Source organism: Homo sapiens, chromosome 4 (assembly GCF_000001405.40).
Source record: "Homo sapiens chromosome 4, GRCh38.p14 Primary Assembly".
Taxonomy (NCBI): Eukaryota; Metazoa; Chordata; class Mammalia; order Primates; family Hominidae; genus Homo; species Homo sapiens.
Genome location: NC_000004.12, coordinates 40,691,705 through 40,709,307, shown reverse-complemented (window position 1 = coordinate 40,709,307; position 17,603 = coordinate 40,691,705). Strand labels below are relative to the sequence as shown.

Sequence of the window (17,603 nt, the reverse complement as noted above, 5' to 3'; positions counted from 1 at the left end):
TGTGAATTCTCACTTTTAACTTTTTGAGGAACTGCCAGATTTTCCACATTGTGCCAGTTTTCCACATTGGCTGCCCCATCTTACATTCCCACCAGTAAAGTATGGGGGTTCCGATTTTTCTACATCCTCCTCAACACTTGTTATTTTCCTTTTTAAAAAACATATTCTAGCCAGCCCAGTGGGTGTGAAATGGTATCTCATGGTTTTGATTTGCACTTCTCATGACTAATGATGTTGAGCATCTTTTCATGTGCTTATTGACCATTTGTATATCATCTTTGCAGATGCATCTATTTACCTCGTTTGCCCTTTTTTTCTTTTTTTTTTTTAAGAGACAAGATCTCACTATATTGCTTAAGCTGGTCTTGAACTCCTGAGTTCAAGCTATCCTCCGACATTAGTCTCCCAAAGTGCTGGGATTACAGGTGTGAGCCGTCACGTCCGCCCTCTTTTGCCTATTTTTAAATTGAATTATTTGTCTTCTTTTTATTGTTGGGTTGTAAGAGTTGTGGGGTTTTTGTTTGTTTGTTTTTACAAATTCTAGATGCAGGTTCCTTATTGGGTATATGATTTGCAAATGTTTTCTCTCAGTCTGTGTGCCTTTTCACTCTCGATAGTGAGTGTCCTTTGCATCACAAAAGGTTTTATTTTGATGAAGTCCCGTTTATCTATTTTTTTCTTTTGTTTCTTGTGCTTTTGGAGTATCTTTTTTTTTTTTTTTTTGGTAGAGATGGGATCTCACCATGTTGCCCAGGCTGGTCTCAAACTCCTGGACTCAAGCATTTCTCCTATCTCAGCCTCCCAGAGTGCTTTGGGTATATCTATGAAATCATCACCTATCTAATTCAAAGTCTTAAATATTTACTGTTGTATTTTCTTCTAAGAGTTTCATAGTTTTGGCATTTACATTTAGGTCTTTGATACATTTTGCTTTAATTATCATATGAAGTTCAGGGCAGAGGTTCAACTTCATTCTTTTGCAAGTGGATACCCTGGCGACCCAGCACTATTTGTCTAAAAAGTCTATCCTTTCCCTTTGGATGATCTTGACACTGTTGTCAAACATCAGTTGACCAGATATATGGGTTTATTTCTGGAATCTAAATTCTATTCGACTGATCTCTACGTCTGTCTTGGGCCAGTACCCACACTATCTTGAATATTGCTGCTTTTGTAGTAAGTTTCAAAATTGGGAAATCTGAGTCCTTCAACTTTTTTCTTCTTTTTCAGGATCGTTTTAGCTATTCTAGGTCCCTCAAGTTTACACATGAATTTTAAGATCAACTTGCCCATTTCTACAAAGAAATAGATGATATTTTTATAGGTTGGTGTTGAATCTGTAAATCAGTTTGAGGAGTATTACCATCTTAACAATATTAAGTCTTCCAGTCATGAACATGGGGTTTCTTTACCATTATTTAGATCTTTAACTTTTTTCAACATTGTTTTGTGGTTTTCAGAGTATAAGTTTTGCCCTTCTTTTGTTGAATGTATTCCTGTTTTATTATTTTTGATGCTGTTATAAATGGAATAATTTCTGTTTTCTTTTTTTTTTTTTGAGACAGGGTCTCACTCCAATCACCGAGGGTGGAGTGCAGTGGTGTGACCATGGCTCATTGCAGCCTCGACTTCCAAAGCTCAGATGAGCCTCCCACATCAGCCTCCTGAGTAGCTGGGACTACAGGCGGGTATCACCACACTTGGCTAATTTTTTGTCTTTTTATTAGAGACAGGTTTTTGCCATATTGCCCAGGCTGGTCTTGAACTTCTGGGCCCAGGTGATCTCCCCACCTCGGCCTCCCAAAGTGCTGGGATTACAGGTGTGAGCCACTGCACCCAGCCATAAATGAAATAATTTCCTAATTTCATTTTAGATTATACATTGCTAGTATACAGAAATACAATAGATTTTTTCATATTGATCTTGTATTCTGCAACCTTGAACTCATTTACTACATTGTGTTTTATTTACTTATGTTTGAACCAGAAAATACTGCATTCCTCAAAGAGTTCATAATTGTGAAATGTTACCATTTTGGAAGTAAAGGGCACAGAAAAATAAATTTTCAATTTATATGTCATATTATTTATGAGTGTGCTTTTCAAACCAAATTTTATATCTGCTATCTTTTTTTCAGAGAAAGTCATTGGTTTCTCAAGTGATTGAAAGCAACAGAGGTTAGACAGTCATGCCAAAAAAGTAAATACAACTTGTAAATTTATTTTTTCACTATTTTAAACAAAATGAACAGTTTTGCACTTACCTGCCAAATTTACTTATGAAATAAGCAATTTATCAATGGTTTGGTTTATCAGTATTCTTGTATATATCTGATAAGTTACTTGCTTATGATTTTAGACAGCTGTAGCTAGAATTCAGATTGCTCCAGTTTAAATGTCAAGATTTATATCAAGCACAACTTTTTACAGTTTTTTTAACTTTTCAAATTAAACAAGTTATTATTTTCTCTTTTTTCTTTCTTTCTTTTTCTTTTCTTTCTTTCTTTTTTTTTTTTTTTTTTGAGACAGAGTCTCGCTCTCTCGCCAGACTGGAGTGCAGTGATCTCCGCTCACTGCAACCTCCACCTCCCGAGTTCAAGTGATTCTCCTGCCTCAGGCTCCCGAGTAGCTGGGACTACAGGCATGAGCCACCATGCCCAGCTAATTTTTGTATTTTTAGTAGAGAAGGTGTTTCACCATGTTGGCCAGACTGGTCTTGATCTTTTGACCTCATGGTCTTCCTGCCTCGGCCTCCCAAAGTGCTGGGATTACAGGCGTGAGCCACTGCGCCTGGCCTAACAAAGATATAATTTTCAAAGAACAAGACCTGAGTTTAGATCAGTATCTTTAAAAAATAAAGCTTTGTTCACATGGTGGTAATTATTATAAAAGGATTTTTTGATATGAGCTAACTTTGAATTTGCATTTTGCTTTAGAATAAAGCATAGTACTCTCTTTATCTACCTAAGCAGTTATATCCTTAGACATAGACTACTAGAATTATTTACACATTCTTTGCAGCATTATATACACATGCTCACGTATAAAGGTTACTCTGCTGGCAGCACTAAATACACCAATCATCTGTAAAAGTAGTTACACATTATACTTTCATCTTACCATGTACAGGAATTTCTCATTTCTTTTGACCATATGTTTTAGTGTCTCTTTTTAAATAGGAATGCAAATGAAATTATTTTTCCTCATCCATTAATTGAAGTTCTTGAACTTATTTTGACAAAAGAATCACTGCCTAAGTTCAGGCTTGAAAGTCTCTCTTTGCTGGCCGGGTGCGGTGGCTTGTAATCCCAGCACTTTGGGAGGCCGAGGCGGGCAGATCACCTGAGGCCAGGAGTTTGAGACCAGCCTGACCAATATGGTGAAACCCTGTCTCTACTAAAAATACAAAAAATTAGCCGGGCGTGTTCGCGGGTGCCTGTAATCCTAGCTACTCGGGAGGCTGAGGCAGGAGAATTGCTTGAACCCGGGAGGCGGAGGTTACAGTGAGCCAAGATTGCGCCACTGCGTTCCAGCCTGGGCGACAGAGCGAGACTCCATCTCAAAAACAAAAGACTCTCTCTTTGCTAACATTTGTGGTAATATTTTCATGGTTTGAGGATAGTTAACTATAACTTAACTGGTATTATTATTGTTGATAATGCTGCCATTGTTTCTGTCAATAACAACAGTTGTCTTTACCACTCGTTTCATTTCTGCTAATAGGGTACATTTTTAGAAACGAGGTGAAGATGACCCCAATGTTGTCATCCTCAGGACTTTTAGTTTGGCCCAATCTTAATCATCCCCAGACTAGGCTTTTCTAGAACACCATTTATTGACCTCTAATTGCAGGTTTATAAAATAGTATTGAGCTGGGGCACAAAGGGCTCTTTACTGAGGCAATTTTTCCACATTTAAGGAGGCAAAAGCAGAATCATTGGTGTAATCAGTAAAATCATTGGCGTAAATCAGTAAAATAAATGATTTATGTCCCCTAAATTTTCTAGAAGATTTTGCAGTAAATTATCTAAATAATTGTCTTTTTGTGTCATGTCGCTTTTGGAAAGGCATCTACTCTGAGGCTGCTTCCTGTGCTCAGAACCACCAGCATATCCTGCAAACCTGCAGCAACAAGCAGCTGGGGGACAGACTGGGCAGGACTAATCCTTCACTGGGTAATAAGACTGGGATTTGTGGCCGGGCACGGTGGCTCACGCCTGTAATCCCAGCACTTTGGGAGGCTGAGGCGGGCAGATCACGAGGTCAGGAGATCAAGACTGTCCTGGCTAACACGGTGAAACCCCATCTCTACTAAAAATACAAAAAATTAACCGGGCGTGGTTGCAAGCAGCTGTAGTCCCAGCTACTCAGGAGGCTGAGGCAGGAGAATGGCGTGAACCTGGGAGGCGGAGCTTGCAGTGAGCCGAGATTGCACCACTGCACTCCAGCCTGGGCAACAGAGCGAGACTCTGTCTCAAAAAAAAAAAAAAAAAAAAAGACTGGGATTTGCAAATGAAATGGATGGAGAGGAAGTGGCATCCCCAGCCTGGAAATTTCCTCATTCAAGTGGTGGCAGGGTCTTTTACTCTGTTTATCAATCAACGGGGTTTTTTGTTTGTTTTTAAACCTCTCAGGGATTGTTAGTCCAGAGTCCATGGATAGAATTCAGGCTGAACTTGGATGAAAAACTTAAATTTTGGGTTTCACCAATATCTAAATAAAATTTAGCATGTTCTTCAATAATGAATGTAGGCAAAAAAACCACAGTAGGATTAGCAATACTTGCAACTTTTTACTAAAAGAAATTGCTGGGCGTGGTGGCTCATGCCTGTAATTCGTACACTTTAGGAGGCTAAGGCAGGTGGATTGCTTGAGTCCAGGAGTTCGAGACCAGTCTGGACAACATGGTGAAACTCTGTCTCTACAAAAAACAACAACAACAAAAATTAGCCAGGCATGGTAGCATGTGCCTATAGTCCCAGCAACTTGGGAGACTGAGGTGGGAGGATTGCTTGAGCCGTGGAGGATGAGGCCGCAGTGAGCTCTGATTGCATCACTGCATTCCAGCCTGGGCAACAGAACGAGATTCTGTCTTAAAAAAAGAAAAAAAATTGCAGGTATTTTCTTATCACATTACAGTTGTTGCAGATATTTTGGAAATATCATTTAAACTACTTTAAATATATGGGAGTTATTAGAACCCAGATTTTGTTAATTAATGTTTTAACAAGGAAGCACATACTTTATAGTTTTAAAATGTATAACTGTATTTCAATACAGTCAAAAATAATAATTTGTTTTTAAGTCATATATATGACTTAAATATAGGGTTAAGGTTAGGTTTAAATGTGGCAGGGCAAGGTGGCCCATGCCTGTAATCCCAGCACTCTGGGAGGCTGAGGCAGGTGGATCACCTGAGGCCAGGAGTTCGAGACCAGCCTGGCAAACACGGTGAAACCCCGTCTCTACTAAAAATACAAAAAAATTTTAGCTGGGTATGGTGGCGCGTGCCTGTAATCCCAGCTATTCAGGAGGCTGAGGCAGAAGAATCGCTTGAACCTGGGAGGCGGAGGTTGCAGTGAGCTGAGATTGTGCCACTGCACTACAGCCTGGGCAACAAGAGCGAAGCTCCATCTAAAAAATAAATAAATAAATAAATAATAAAGAGCCTAGGTATAATAGGCCTAGGTGTAGTAGGACTTGACATGTGCTCTGGGCAGGGGGCTGCCTATGTATGGTCACTGACTTTGCCCCCCTCCCTTTATTCCCTGTGCTTGAAGGGAACTATGCCAGTTTCAGTATCCACCAGAACAGCAGGTCCTGGTTAGCTCCAGTCCAAAAGTCGATTTTTTTTCTTTTTCTCAGCGGAGGAACAGGGTCTGTGTTCCTGTTTCTCAGCGGAGGAACAGGAACCTTGGCTTCCCAGGTTCAAGCGATTCTCGTGCCTCAGCCTCCCAAGTAGCTGGGACTACAGGCGTGTACCACCACGCCTGGCTGATTTTTTGTATTTTTTGTAGAGACAGAGTTTTGCCATGTTGGCAAGGCTGGTCTTGAACTTCTGACCTCAAGTGATCTGCCGGCCTCGGCCTACCAAAGTGCTGGGATTACAGGCCTGAGCCACTGCACCCAGCCCAGAAGCTGATCTTAACAGAAGAATTTCTCCTGTCGATGTAAAGTTAACTTGCAAACTTACATGAAAATGCAGCTTCTCAGAATCTGCCCAAACTAGATTAGAATGATAAGCTTGGCCCTTAGCCAGTCCTGAGTCAGGTGGATTTCCGTTTTCACCCTTGAACCAAAAGTTGGGGTTATGAGACCAGCCAGAATATGCTGAATGGGGTCTCCCCCCATCACCACTGCCACCTACCACATTCATCCCTTAATTTGCCACTAGATGCTCTGAGGAAAGGGTCAAAATAGGGGCCACTCCAAACCATAAGTGAGAAGTGGAAGAAAAATATACAGGTGAAGGCATGAGTTTACCAGCAATGTCATTTCAGTGGTTGGGCCAGGAGGTGGGGATTGGGGCAACGGAAAGACAAACTGATAATTTATTCAAGGAAAAGTCAGCCGTCTAACCCAGGGGCTCAATGAAATCATCACATTTCAATTTTAGCTGTTTGTGGCACATATAAAGTGATCTTGCAGGTAAAAAGTTCAGCTTGCCATGCATTAATTACCTCCAGGTCCATCTGGTATTTCTAGTTTTGTATGTTTGTAGAATAAAAGTGAAAAGGAAAAAAAAAGTGTCCTTGTTTTTGCTCAATATTTCTGTTGAACAGAAATATTGTGTGTGACAAACACAGAGTTTGCTTACAAGTTGGAGCTGCCTTTTGATTAATGGTTTATTTAAATTGTTAGTATAGGAGATAATGGGTAAAGGAAGATTCTTAAAAATGGAAGCCCTGGGTTCTAGCTGTGATACTCCCTCTGCTTATACCAGTTATGTTCTTATTCGAGTTTCTGTATCTTGCCCTGATCTGATTTTTTTTTTTTTTTTACCTGTTTGACGTAGAAATTGTGGGAAGAAGTGAAAGAGGTGAATGAGAGAAAAAAACATGTGTGACGTGCTTTAAGTTTACTGGAAAGTTCATCATACATATTATTGTGAACTTTTTTACAGTTTATGCCAGTGATAGTTTGCCTTGCAAATAGTAAGTGAATGTTTATCGATTTGCATTTGCCTGACAGCATTGTTCTTTATGTTAAAGCACTTTTTAATAATCAATTAACTGTTACTAGTTTTCTGAATGTTCATTTTGTTGATTGTCATATAAGGAATATGATGGTAGTAGAATGTAGCTGAAGTTTGCGAATGCGGAGAACTTTATATTGTTCATCCCTTTGAAAAGACGTGTAAGAGAATTTGTTTACTACAATATACTCAGGGCTTGGAATAGTGGCTGGTACATGGTGAAACCTCAATAAATATTGAATGATGTAAGACAGGAGCCAATTAGCAAATCTTCAAAGGAATAGCATATTGATTATATATAAATGGTACATAAATTATACATTCATGGAGAAGGTTTAAGCAAATCTTTCTAAGTCCTCTAACTCCAGATTGGGACAACAAATATTGTAATTTAAATTCAACCGGCTGGGTGCAGTGGCTCACGCCTGTAATCCCAGCACTTTGGGAGGCCGAGACAGGTGGATCATGAGGTCAGGAGTTTGAGACCAGCCTGACCAACAGGGTGAAACCCTGTCTCTACTAAAAATACAAAAATTAGCTGGGCATGGTGGTGCATGCCTGTAATCCCAGCTACTCAGGAGGCTGAGGCAGGAGAATTGCTTGAACCCAGGAGGCAGAGATTGCAGTGAGCCGAGATCACACCACTGCACTTCAGCTGGGCAACAGAGTGAGACTCCATCTCAAATAATAATAATAATAATAATAATAATAATAATAATAATTTAACCTATTGCTCTCCTCTCCTCTTCCACTTTAGTTTAATATTTGCAGAGTTTTTAGTTAACAATAGTATAACATTTTGTGGCAGAGGAAAGGAAACATTCCTAAAAGAAACAGTGTATTGTATTTTTGCCATTATGTTACAGATAAGGCATATGGGGGAATGATGGCAGGCCTTTTGACTTTGCTTTCATTAAGGATTCATAGCCTGGGCTCATGACCTTAAGATGTCCCTTCCCCACAGATAATTAAATTAACTTCTTATGGCTTTCATGATTTCCATTTCCTTTTTTCTTGTTTTAGTAGAGACAGGGTCTCACTATGTTGCCCAGGTTGGTCTCGAACTCCTGGACTTAAGCAGTCCTCCTGCCTCAACTTCCCAAAGTGCTGGGATTACAGGTATGAGCCACTGCACCTGGCCAATTTTAATTTCTGGTTTTTTTTTTTGTTTTTTTTTTTTTTTTTGAGATGGAGTCTTGCTCTGTCACCCAGGCTGGAGTGCAGTGGCTCACTGCAACCTCTGCCTCCCGGGTTCAAGCAATTCTCCTGCCTCAGCCTCTGGAGTAGCTGAGATTACAGGCGTGTGCCACCACGCCTGGAAAATTTTTGTATTGTTAGTAGAGATGGGGTTTCACCATGTTGGCCAGGCTGGTCTCAAACTCCTGACCTCAAGTGATCCACCCACCTTGGCCTCCCAAAGTCACAGACGTGAGCCACCGCTCCCAGACTTATTTCTTTATAATAGAATACAACCCATTAAGCTTAGCAAGCAGAAAAAAAATGGAGCATAGTCCTATTCTTCCATATTCTTAGGCAAGCTCCTACATTTCTCCAGGTTTTGATTTCATGCTCTACAATTAGCGGTGGCAAACTAAGAACTGAACATCAAATCCAGCCTACCACCTGTTTTTATATGGCCAGTGGGCTAAAGATAGTTTTTATATCTACAAATTGAAAAAAAATCAAGAGAAGACTAATATTCTGTGGCATGCAAAGCTATATAAAATTCAAATTTCAGAATCCATAAATAAGGTTCTTATTGGAACACAGACAGGCTAATTTGTTTATGTATTTTCTGTAGCTGCTTTCACACTACAATGGCAGAACTGAGTACTATGTAAGTTTTTAAATAAATGAAAGCAATTTAATTGTTTTTCATCAATTGAAGTATAATCTTTAAAATGAATTTGGTAAAACCTCCTCACTTGAGGTCGGGAGTTCGAGACCAGCCTGGCCAACATGGTGAAACCCTGTCTCTAATAAAAATACAAAAAATTAGCCAGGTGTGGTGGCCAGTGCCTGTAATCCCAGCTACTCGGGAAGCTGAAGCATGAGAATCGCTTGAACCCGGGAGGAGGAGGTTGCAGTGGGCTGAGATCTCACCACTGCACTCTAGCCTGGGCGACATCTTAAAAAAAAAGTCCTAGCTGTTTCCTTCAAGTACAAGTTCAGGTTTTTAAATGGATGTTCTAACATTCTCTTTTCAATCAGAATTTCAACCACAAAAATCAGAGAAAGATGAGTCAGAGTCAAGTCTACCCAACAGGGAGTCAGAATGGAATTCTTGAGTAGATTCGTCCCAAGTTTCAATTTCTACCACTGATTACCCAAGAAATATGGCACTTAACTTCTTCGAGCCTCAGTTTTCTCATCTGTAAAATGGCAGTAAACATAGTTATCTCTAGGGCCGAGCTAGTACATGAGAGCATCCCAGGTATTATTAATTTAGTGTCTTTATTTCAAACCAATATTCCTTAAATATTTATTTACTGTTAGTGGGAGTGAAGAGAAATTGTTTTCCTATTGACAAAAATAAATTGCTCATCATTTTTTAATGTTCAAAATATTTCTTACATGAAGTTATTTTGAATCACCTTTTATTTTGCAGTTTTTTGCATCTCTTGGAACTGTCAGTTACTCTTAGCCACCAAAGATTAGGCCAACATATATAGATATATTTATTAAGTCTAATTCAAAATACATTTGAGATGCTGGGTGCGGTGGTTCACCCCTGTAATCCCAGCACTTTGGGAGGCTGAGGCGGGCGGATCACCTGAAGTCAGGAGTTCAAGACCAGCCTGGCCAACATGGTGAAACCCTGTCTCTACTAAAAATACAAAAATTAACTGGGCATGGTGGTGCGGGCCTGTAGTCCCAGCTACTCGGGAGGCTGAGGCAGGAGAATCGCTTGAACCCAGGGGGCGGATGTTGTAGTGAGCTGAGATGGCATCACTGCATTCCACCCTAGGTGACAGAGTGAGACTCTATCTCAAAAACAAAACAAAAACAAAAACAAACCCCTCCCATCTTGTTCTTGTCTCTGTGTGTGTGTCTGTATGCTCACATATACATGTTTGTGTGTATACTTTCCTGAAGCAGACCTTTTGTTAAGGGATAGATTAAAGCTGTTATAATTTAAATGATAAAGAGTAAAGTCCTCCTCAGTAAAGAACACTAAGCCCATGCATTGTTTTGCTCCAGATTTGAATCTCCCCTGGCTGCCTTAGGCCTCAGGGTTAGTGCCCTGTGGTCATTGAACTTGTAAGCCCTCCAGATTCTGAAAAGACACAGATGCCACACTAACAAGAATTATCTTTTATTTGCATTCAAGGGCTCTGTATGATCTGATGCGATTGAGACCAATTTACATTTTTAAAAATGTTTAGACGTATATAGACATATTTTTTTTTTTGGCTGCTCCATGGACAGAGCAGGGCCATCCCACAGGCAGAGTAGCCCAATTTACATTTTGCCTGTTGAGTAGGGAATGGGGGTGGAAATCTGAGTTAATGGTCATCAGATTTCTGATTTATTACAATGATCTTATAGAATGGTCTCCTTGAGCTGACTCATGGTTGAATCCTATGAGGACTAAATAAGATAATATGTACATAAGGCCAGGCGCAGTGGCTCACCCCTGTAATCCCAGCACTTTGGGAGGCCAAGGCTAGCAGATCACTTGAGGTCAGGATTTCAAGACCAGCCTGGCCAACATGGTGAAATCCTGTCTCTACTAAAAATACAAAAATTAGCTGTGTGTGGTGGCATGCACCTGTAATCTCAGCTTCTCGAGAGGCTGAGGTGGGAGAACCTCTTGAACCTGGGAGGTGGAGGTTGCAGTGGGCTGAGATCGCACCACTGCACTCCCGCCTGGGCAACAGAGTGAGACCCTGTCTCGAAAAAAAAAAAGTACATATATAAGATACTCTCTTACTACCTTACTGCTTGACACAAACTAGGCACTGAAAGAAAGGTGATTGACAGAGTCATTGTCACCCTGTTGCAGATACCTCCTCAGAAACAGAAGATACATCAAAGCACGAGGGAGATGTGAGAGGTAGGCTGTCCAACAGAACTCTCTGCAGTGATAAAAATGTTCTATATTTGTGGTATCCACTATTCACATCAGAACTGAGGGATGCATTTTTTTAAAATCTGATTTTAATTAATTTAAAATTTAAACCACGTATGTGGCTGGGCCACCATACCATATTGAACAGCACAACTCCTGAATTTTAAAAGATATCAACAGAGTATTAGACAAATTAATATACCTCTGGTAACACAGGGAGAACTAATCTTTCTGGTTTTTTTTTTTTTTTTTTTGAGATGGAGTCTTGCTGTGTCACCCAGACTGGAGTGCAGTGGCGCAATCTCAGTTCACTACAACCTCGGCCTCCTGGGTTCAAGCAATTCTCCTTCCTCAGTCTCCGAGTAGCTGGGATTACAGGCACCTGCCACCATGCCTGACTCATTTTTTGTATTTTTAGTGGAGATGGAGTTTCACCACGTTGGCCAGGCTGGTCTGGAACTGCTGACCTCAAGTGATCTGCTCGCCTCGGCCTGCCAAAGTGCTGGGATTATAGGAGTGAGCCACTATGCCCAGACTGTTAATAAGATACTAAAATGGGGAAATCCATTACAGGTGAAGAATTCCCACTAAAATTTATGATAAGCATATATATGTATGTGTGTGTGTGTATATATATATATATATATGTATAATTATTGTCTTTAATTTTAAAAAGCATATATATATACACATACATATATGCATGTATATGTATACATACATGCATATATGTATGTATACCTACGTATGTATGTATGTATGTGTATATATATGCCTTTTTAAATTAAAGACAATTTTTAGAGTAATTTTAGGTTCCCAGCAAACTTGAGGGAAGGGTACGGAGATTTCCCATATACCCCTGCTCCGCCACATGCACAGCCTCCCCTATTATCAACATCTTCCACCAGAGTGGTCCATTTGCTACAATGGATGGACCTACATTGACACCTCATTATCACCCACAGTCCACAGTTTACATTAGGGTTCACTAATGGTGTGGGTCATTCTATTAGTTTGGACGAATACATAACGGCATGTATGCACCATTGTAGTATCATACAGAATAGTTTTACAGCCCTACCACCCCCCAGTGCTCTGGCTATTCATTCTTCCCTCCCTCTGCCCAATCTCTAGCAACCACTGATCTTCCTACTGTCTCCATAGTTTTGCCTTTTCCAGCATGCCATGTAGTTGGAATCATTCAGTATGTAGCATTGTACATATAGTAGAAGCCTTCTGATTGTCCTCTTTCTCCTTTTTTTTTTTTTTTTTTTTAAGACAAGTCTTACTCTGTTGCCCAGGCTGGAGTGCAGTGGCGTGATCTCGGCTCACTACAACCATCTGCCTCCTTGGTTCAAGCGATTATCCTGCCTCAGCCTCCTGAGTAGCTGGGATTGCAGACGTGTCCCACCACGTAGAGCTAATTTTTGTATTTTTAGTAGAGACAAGGTTTCACCATGTTGGCCAAGCTGGTCTTGAACTCCTAACCTCTGGTGATCCTCCTGCCTTGGCCTCCCAAAGTGCTGGGATTACAGGCATGAGCCAGCACGCCCAGCCAGGATTGACTTCTTTCATTTAGCAATATGCATTTAAGTTTCCTCTGTGCCTTTTCACGGAACAAGCCTATATTGAAGAGGATATGTAATGTATTATGCTGTAATGTTGTGGCAAGGTGAATTAGAATGATAACATCTAGGAAAGGTGTTCAAAAATATAATCACATAGTTTGTTAATATCACATATATTCACTCCAAAATATATTCAAATAATTTAAAATAATACTAAATGAAATTTCAGTATTAGTGAAATCGGAGCCTTCTTCCAAAATAGAAATAACTCCACACCATGGATTCAGTAGTGATTTCACTTATGTACCACATGTAATTGATGAATTAACTAATTCAACAGTTTCTGGAGCTCTCGGGTACAGGATACTGGGATAAACCATGCAGACATAGCGAAGAATATAACAGGAAGAAGAAAGGATCTGGGGGAAGGCATTGTACCGGGAAGCACCAAAAGAGGACCACTGTGGCTGGGGTAGAAAAAGGGAGACAGAGTAGAGCTCAAAGGAAAGGGAAGTGAGCAAGGGCTTAATCTTGCAGGACCTTTTAGGCCACAAAAAAGAATCTGGACTTTTTCCTTAGAGCAACTGACTTTGAAAAGTTGATGGCTGGGGCCGGGTGCAGTGGCTCACGCCTATAATCCCAGCACTTTGGGAGGCCGAGGCAGGTGAATTACCTGAGGTCAGGAGTTTGAGACCAGCCTGGCCAACATGGCAAAACCCTGTCTCTACTAAAAATACAAAAATTAGCCAGGTGAGTGATAGGCACCTGTAATCTCAGCTACTTGGGAGGCTGAGGAAGAAGAATTGCTTGAACCCAGGAGGTGGATGTTGCAGTGAGCTGAGATCACGACACTGCAGTCCAGCATGGGCGACAGAGCGACATTCTGTCTCAAAAAAAAAATAATAAAAATTAAAATACAAAAATTAGCCAGTCGTAGTGACGCACCTGTAGTGCCAGCTATTTGGGAGGCTGAGGCACAAGAATCGCTTGAACCTGGGAGGTGGAGGTTGTAGTGAGCCGAGATGGTGTCACTGCACTCCCACCTAGGTGACAAAGCGAGACCCTGTTTCGTTTGTTTGTTTGTTTGTTTGTTTTTTGAGACAGAGTCTCTCTCTATCACCCAGGGTGCAGTGCAGTGGCATGAACTTGGCTCACTGCAACCTCTGGTTCCCGGGTTCAAGCAATTCTTCTGCCTCAGCCTCCTGAGTGGCTGAGATTACAGGTGCCCGCGATCACACTCAGCTAATTTTTGTATTTTTAGTGGAGACAGGGTTTCATTATGTTGGCCAGGCTAGTCTCAAACTCCTGACCTCAGGTGATCCACCTGCCTCGGCCTCCCAAAGTGCTGGAATTACAGGTTTGAGCCACTGCACCCAGCTGAGACTCTGTTTCAAAAACAAAAAAACAATCACCACCACAACAAAAAGACATATTATATATAGTTGTTCTAGTATCAAATAATATATAAATGTAATATTATAAACATTCAAAATACCTTAAACAGGGAATACCATATAGTAAACACTCATACCAGCTGTTAAGATAATGGATCATTAATCTACTAAAGATAGATTCTCTATATGCCTAATTTTAAAAGGGGGAGGAAGCCTCTCTGATTTTAAATATAGAAAATGGATCAATGGCTGGGTGGCTCTTACCTGTAATCCCAAAACTTTGGGAGGCTGAGGCGGGCGAATCACTTGAGGCCAGGGGTTCAAGACCAGACTGGCTGACATGGCGAAACCCCGTCTCTACAAAAATACAAACATTGGCCAAGTGTGGTGGCATTTGCCTGTAGTCCCATCTACTCGAGAGGCTGAGGCAGGAGAATTGCTTGAACCCAGGAGGTGGCGGTTGCAGTGAGCTGAGATGGTGCCATTGTACTCCACCATGGGCAACAGAGTGAGAACCTGTTTTTTGTTTTTTTTTGTTTTTAAAGAAGTTAGGGGTTGCAAAGGGAGGATGACAAAATCAGATTTTGCATTTTAAAGAATCTGATGATTGGAAAGGAAACAAATAGATGGAAATCTGTCTGGGGAGAAGCATAAAAACCCACCTAAAAAATGAGGGCAACTGAGTCATATACAAGACCTTCCAAGAATGAAGTAGATTTCCATCATGTTCCATGGCATAGCCCCAAGATGTTTTCCACAACAGCAGCTGGGAGGATTCTTTAAAAGTCAGATTCTATCATTGCCTTGCTCCATGCCCTCCAGTGGGCCTCTGTCTCCCCTGAGCCTAATGCTGTCCTGCAGGTCCAGGACCCACAATCTCTCTGACCTCATCTACAATTTCCCACCTCCTGCTGCTCCAACCCTACTGGCCTCCTAGCTATTCCTTTAACATGCCAAATACTCCCTGCAGTGGAGTCTTTTCACTTGATGTTCCCTCTCCTTAGAATTCTCTTCCCATCAGATATTTTCATGGCTCCTTCCCTCATTTCCTTCAAGTCTCCATTCAGATGTCAGTGTCAGTAGTCAGCACGTTATCAGCCTAACTGGCATATATAAGATCACCTCTAGCCCCAAACAGCCCCTTTTCCTCTCACCCGACTTTCCTGTTCTCCACAGCACTTATCACCAGCTGACATGCTACAGGCATACCTCGCCGTAGTGTGCTTTGCAGATATTGCACTTTTCACAAAGTGAAGTTTTGTGGCAACTCTGTGTCAAGCAAGTCTATTGGTGCCATTTTTCCAACAGCATGTGCTTACTTCGTGGTCTCTGTGTCACATTTTGGTAATTCTTGCAATATTTTAATTGTTGTTATTATTATATCTGTTATGGTGATCTGTGATCAGTGATCTTGGATGTTACTATTGTAATTGTTTTGGACACCATGAACTACCCATATTAAATTGAGAACTCAATCAGTAAATATTGTACGTGTCTGACTGCTCCACTGAACAGCTGTCCATCTCTCTCCTCAGGCCTCCCGATTCCCTAAGAAACAACAATACTGAAATAAGGCCAATTAATAACTCTACAACAGCTTCTAAGTGTTCAAGTGAAAGGAAGAGTTGCATGTCTCTTACTTTAAATCAAGAGCTAGAAGTGGGCTGGGCATGGTGGCTCACGCCTGTAATCTCAGCACTTTGGGAGGCCGAGGTGGGCAGATCTCTTGAGGTCAGGAGTTCAAGACCAGCCTGACCAACATGGTGAAACCCCGTCTCTACTAAGAATACAAACATTAGCCTGGCATGGTGGTGCATGCTTGTAATCCCAGCTACTCAGGAGGCTGAGGCAGGAGAACAGCTTGAACCAAGGAGGCAGAGGTTGCAGTGAGCCGAAATCGCACCGCTGCACTCCAGCTTGAGCCACAGTAGACTCCATCTTAAAAAAACAAACAAACAAAAAACAAACAAACCTATAAATCATTAAGCTTAGTGAGGAAGGCATGTCTAAAGCCAAGTTAGGTTGAAAGTTAGGCTTCTTGCAGCCAAATTGTGAATGCAAAGAAAAAGTTATTGGAGGAAATTAAAAGTGCTACTCCAGTGAACACACAAATGATACAAAAGCAAAACAACTTTATTTCTGATATGGAGAAAGTTTGAGTAATCTGGATAGATGCTCAAACCAGCCACACTATTCCTGAAGTCAAAGCCTAATCCAGAGCAAGGCCCTAACTCTCTTCAATTCTATGAAGGCTAAGAGAGAAGAGGAAGCTGCAGAGGAAAAGTTTGACACTAACAGATGTTGGTTCATGAGATTGAAGGAAAGAAGCCATTTCTGTATCATAAGAGTGCAAGATGAAGCAGCAAGTGCTGATGTAGAAGCTGTAGCAAGTTATCCAAAAGATCTAGCAAAGATTATCAATGAAGGTGGTTACACTCAACAACAGATTTTCAGTATAGACAAAACAACATTGTATTGGAAGAAGATTCCATCTAGGACTTTCATAGCTAGAGAGGAGAAGTCAATATCTGGCTTCAAAGCTTAAAAGGACAAGCTGACTTGCTAGGGGCTAATGCAGCTGGTGACTTGAAGTTGAAGTCAATGCTTATTTACCATTCTGAAAATCGTAGGGCCCTTAAGAATTATGCTAAATCTCCTCATCCTATGCTTTATAAATGGAATAACAAAGCCTGGATGACAGAACACCTGTTTACAGCATAGTTTACTGAATATTTTAAGCCCACCATTGAGACCTGCTGCTCAGAACAAAAGATTCCTTTAGAAATATTAGTGCTCAATGACAATGTGCTTATTCACCCGAGATCTCTCATGGAGATGTACAAGGAGATTAATGTTTTCATGCCTGCTTACACAACTTTCATTCTGCAGCCTATGGATCAAGAGTAATTTCGACTTTCAAGTCCCATTATTTAAGAGATAGATCTCAGCAGGATGCAGTGCCTCATGCCTGTAATCCCAGCACTTTGGCAGGACGAGGCAGGTGGATCACTTGTGCCCATGAATTCCAGACCAGCCTTGAGCAACATGGTGAAACCTTGTCTCTACAATTAAAAAAAAAAATTAGTTAGGCATGGTGGCAAGTGCCTGCAGTCCCAGCTACTCGGGAGGCTGAGGTGGGAGGATCACTTGAGCCCAGGAGTTTGAGGCTGCAGAGAGCTGTGATTGCCACTGCACTCCAGCCTGCATGACAGAGCAAGGCCCTGACTAAAAAAAAAAAAAAACAAACGAAAGAAAGAAATGATCTCATAAGGGGCTGAAGCTTGCATCAATAGTGATTCCTCTGATAGATCTGGACAAAATAACTTCTATACGCACTGGGAAGCCAAAAAATTGATGTGGCTCACTTTATTGCA

The 17,603-nt window shown here is 41.0% G+C and overlaps 1 annotated feature.

Moving 5' to 3' along the window:
• Window positions 10,024–10,797: an enhancer, noted in NCBI's record as "NANOG hESC enhancer chr4:40700528-40701301 (GRCh37/hg19 assembly coordinates)". NCBI's record gives its function as "activates a minimal SCP1, AML or CMV promoter by ChIP-STARR-seq in naive H9 embryonic stem cells {active_cell/tissue: H9 hESC(naive)}" and the evidence as "EXISTENCE:reporter gene assay evidence [ECO:0000049][PMID:30033119]".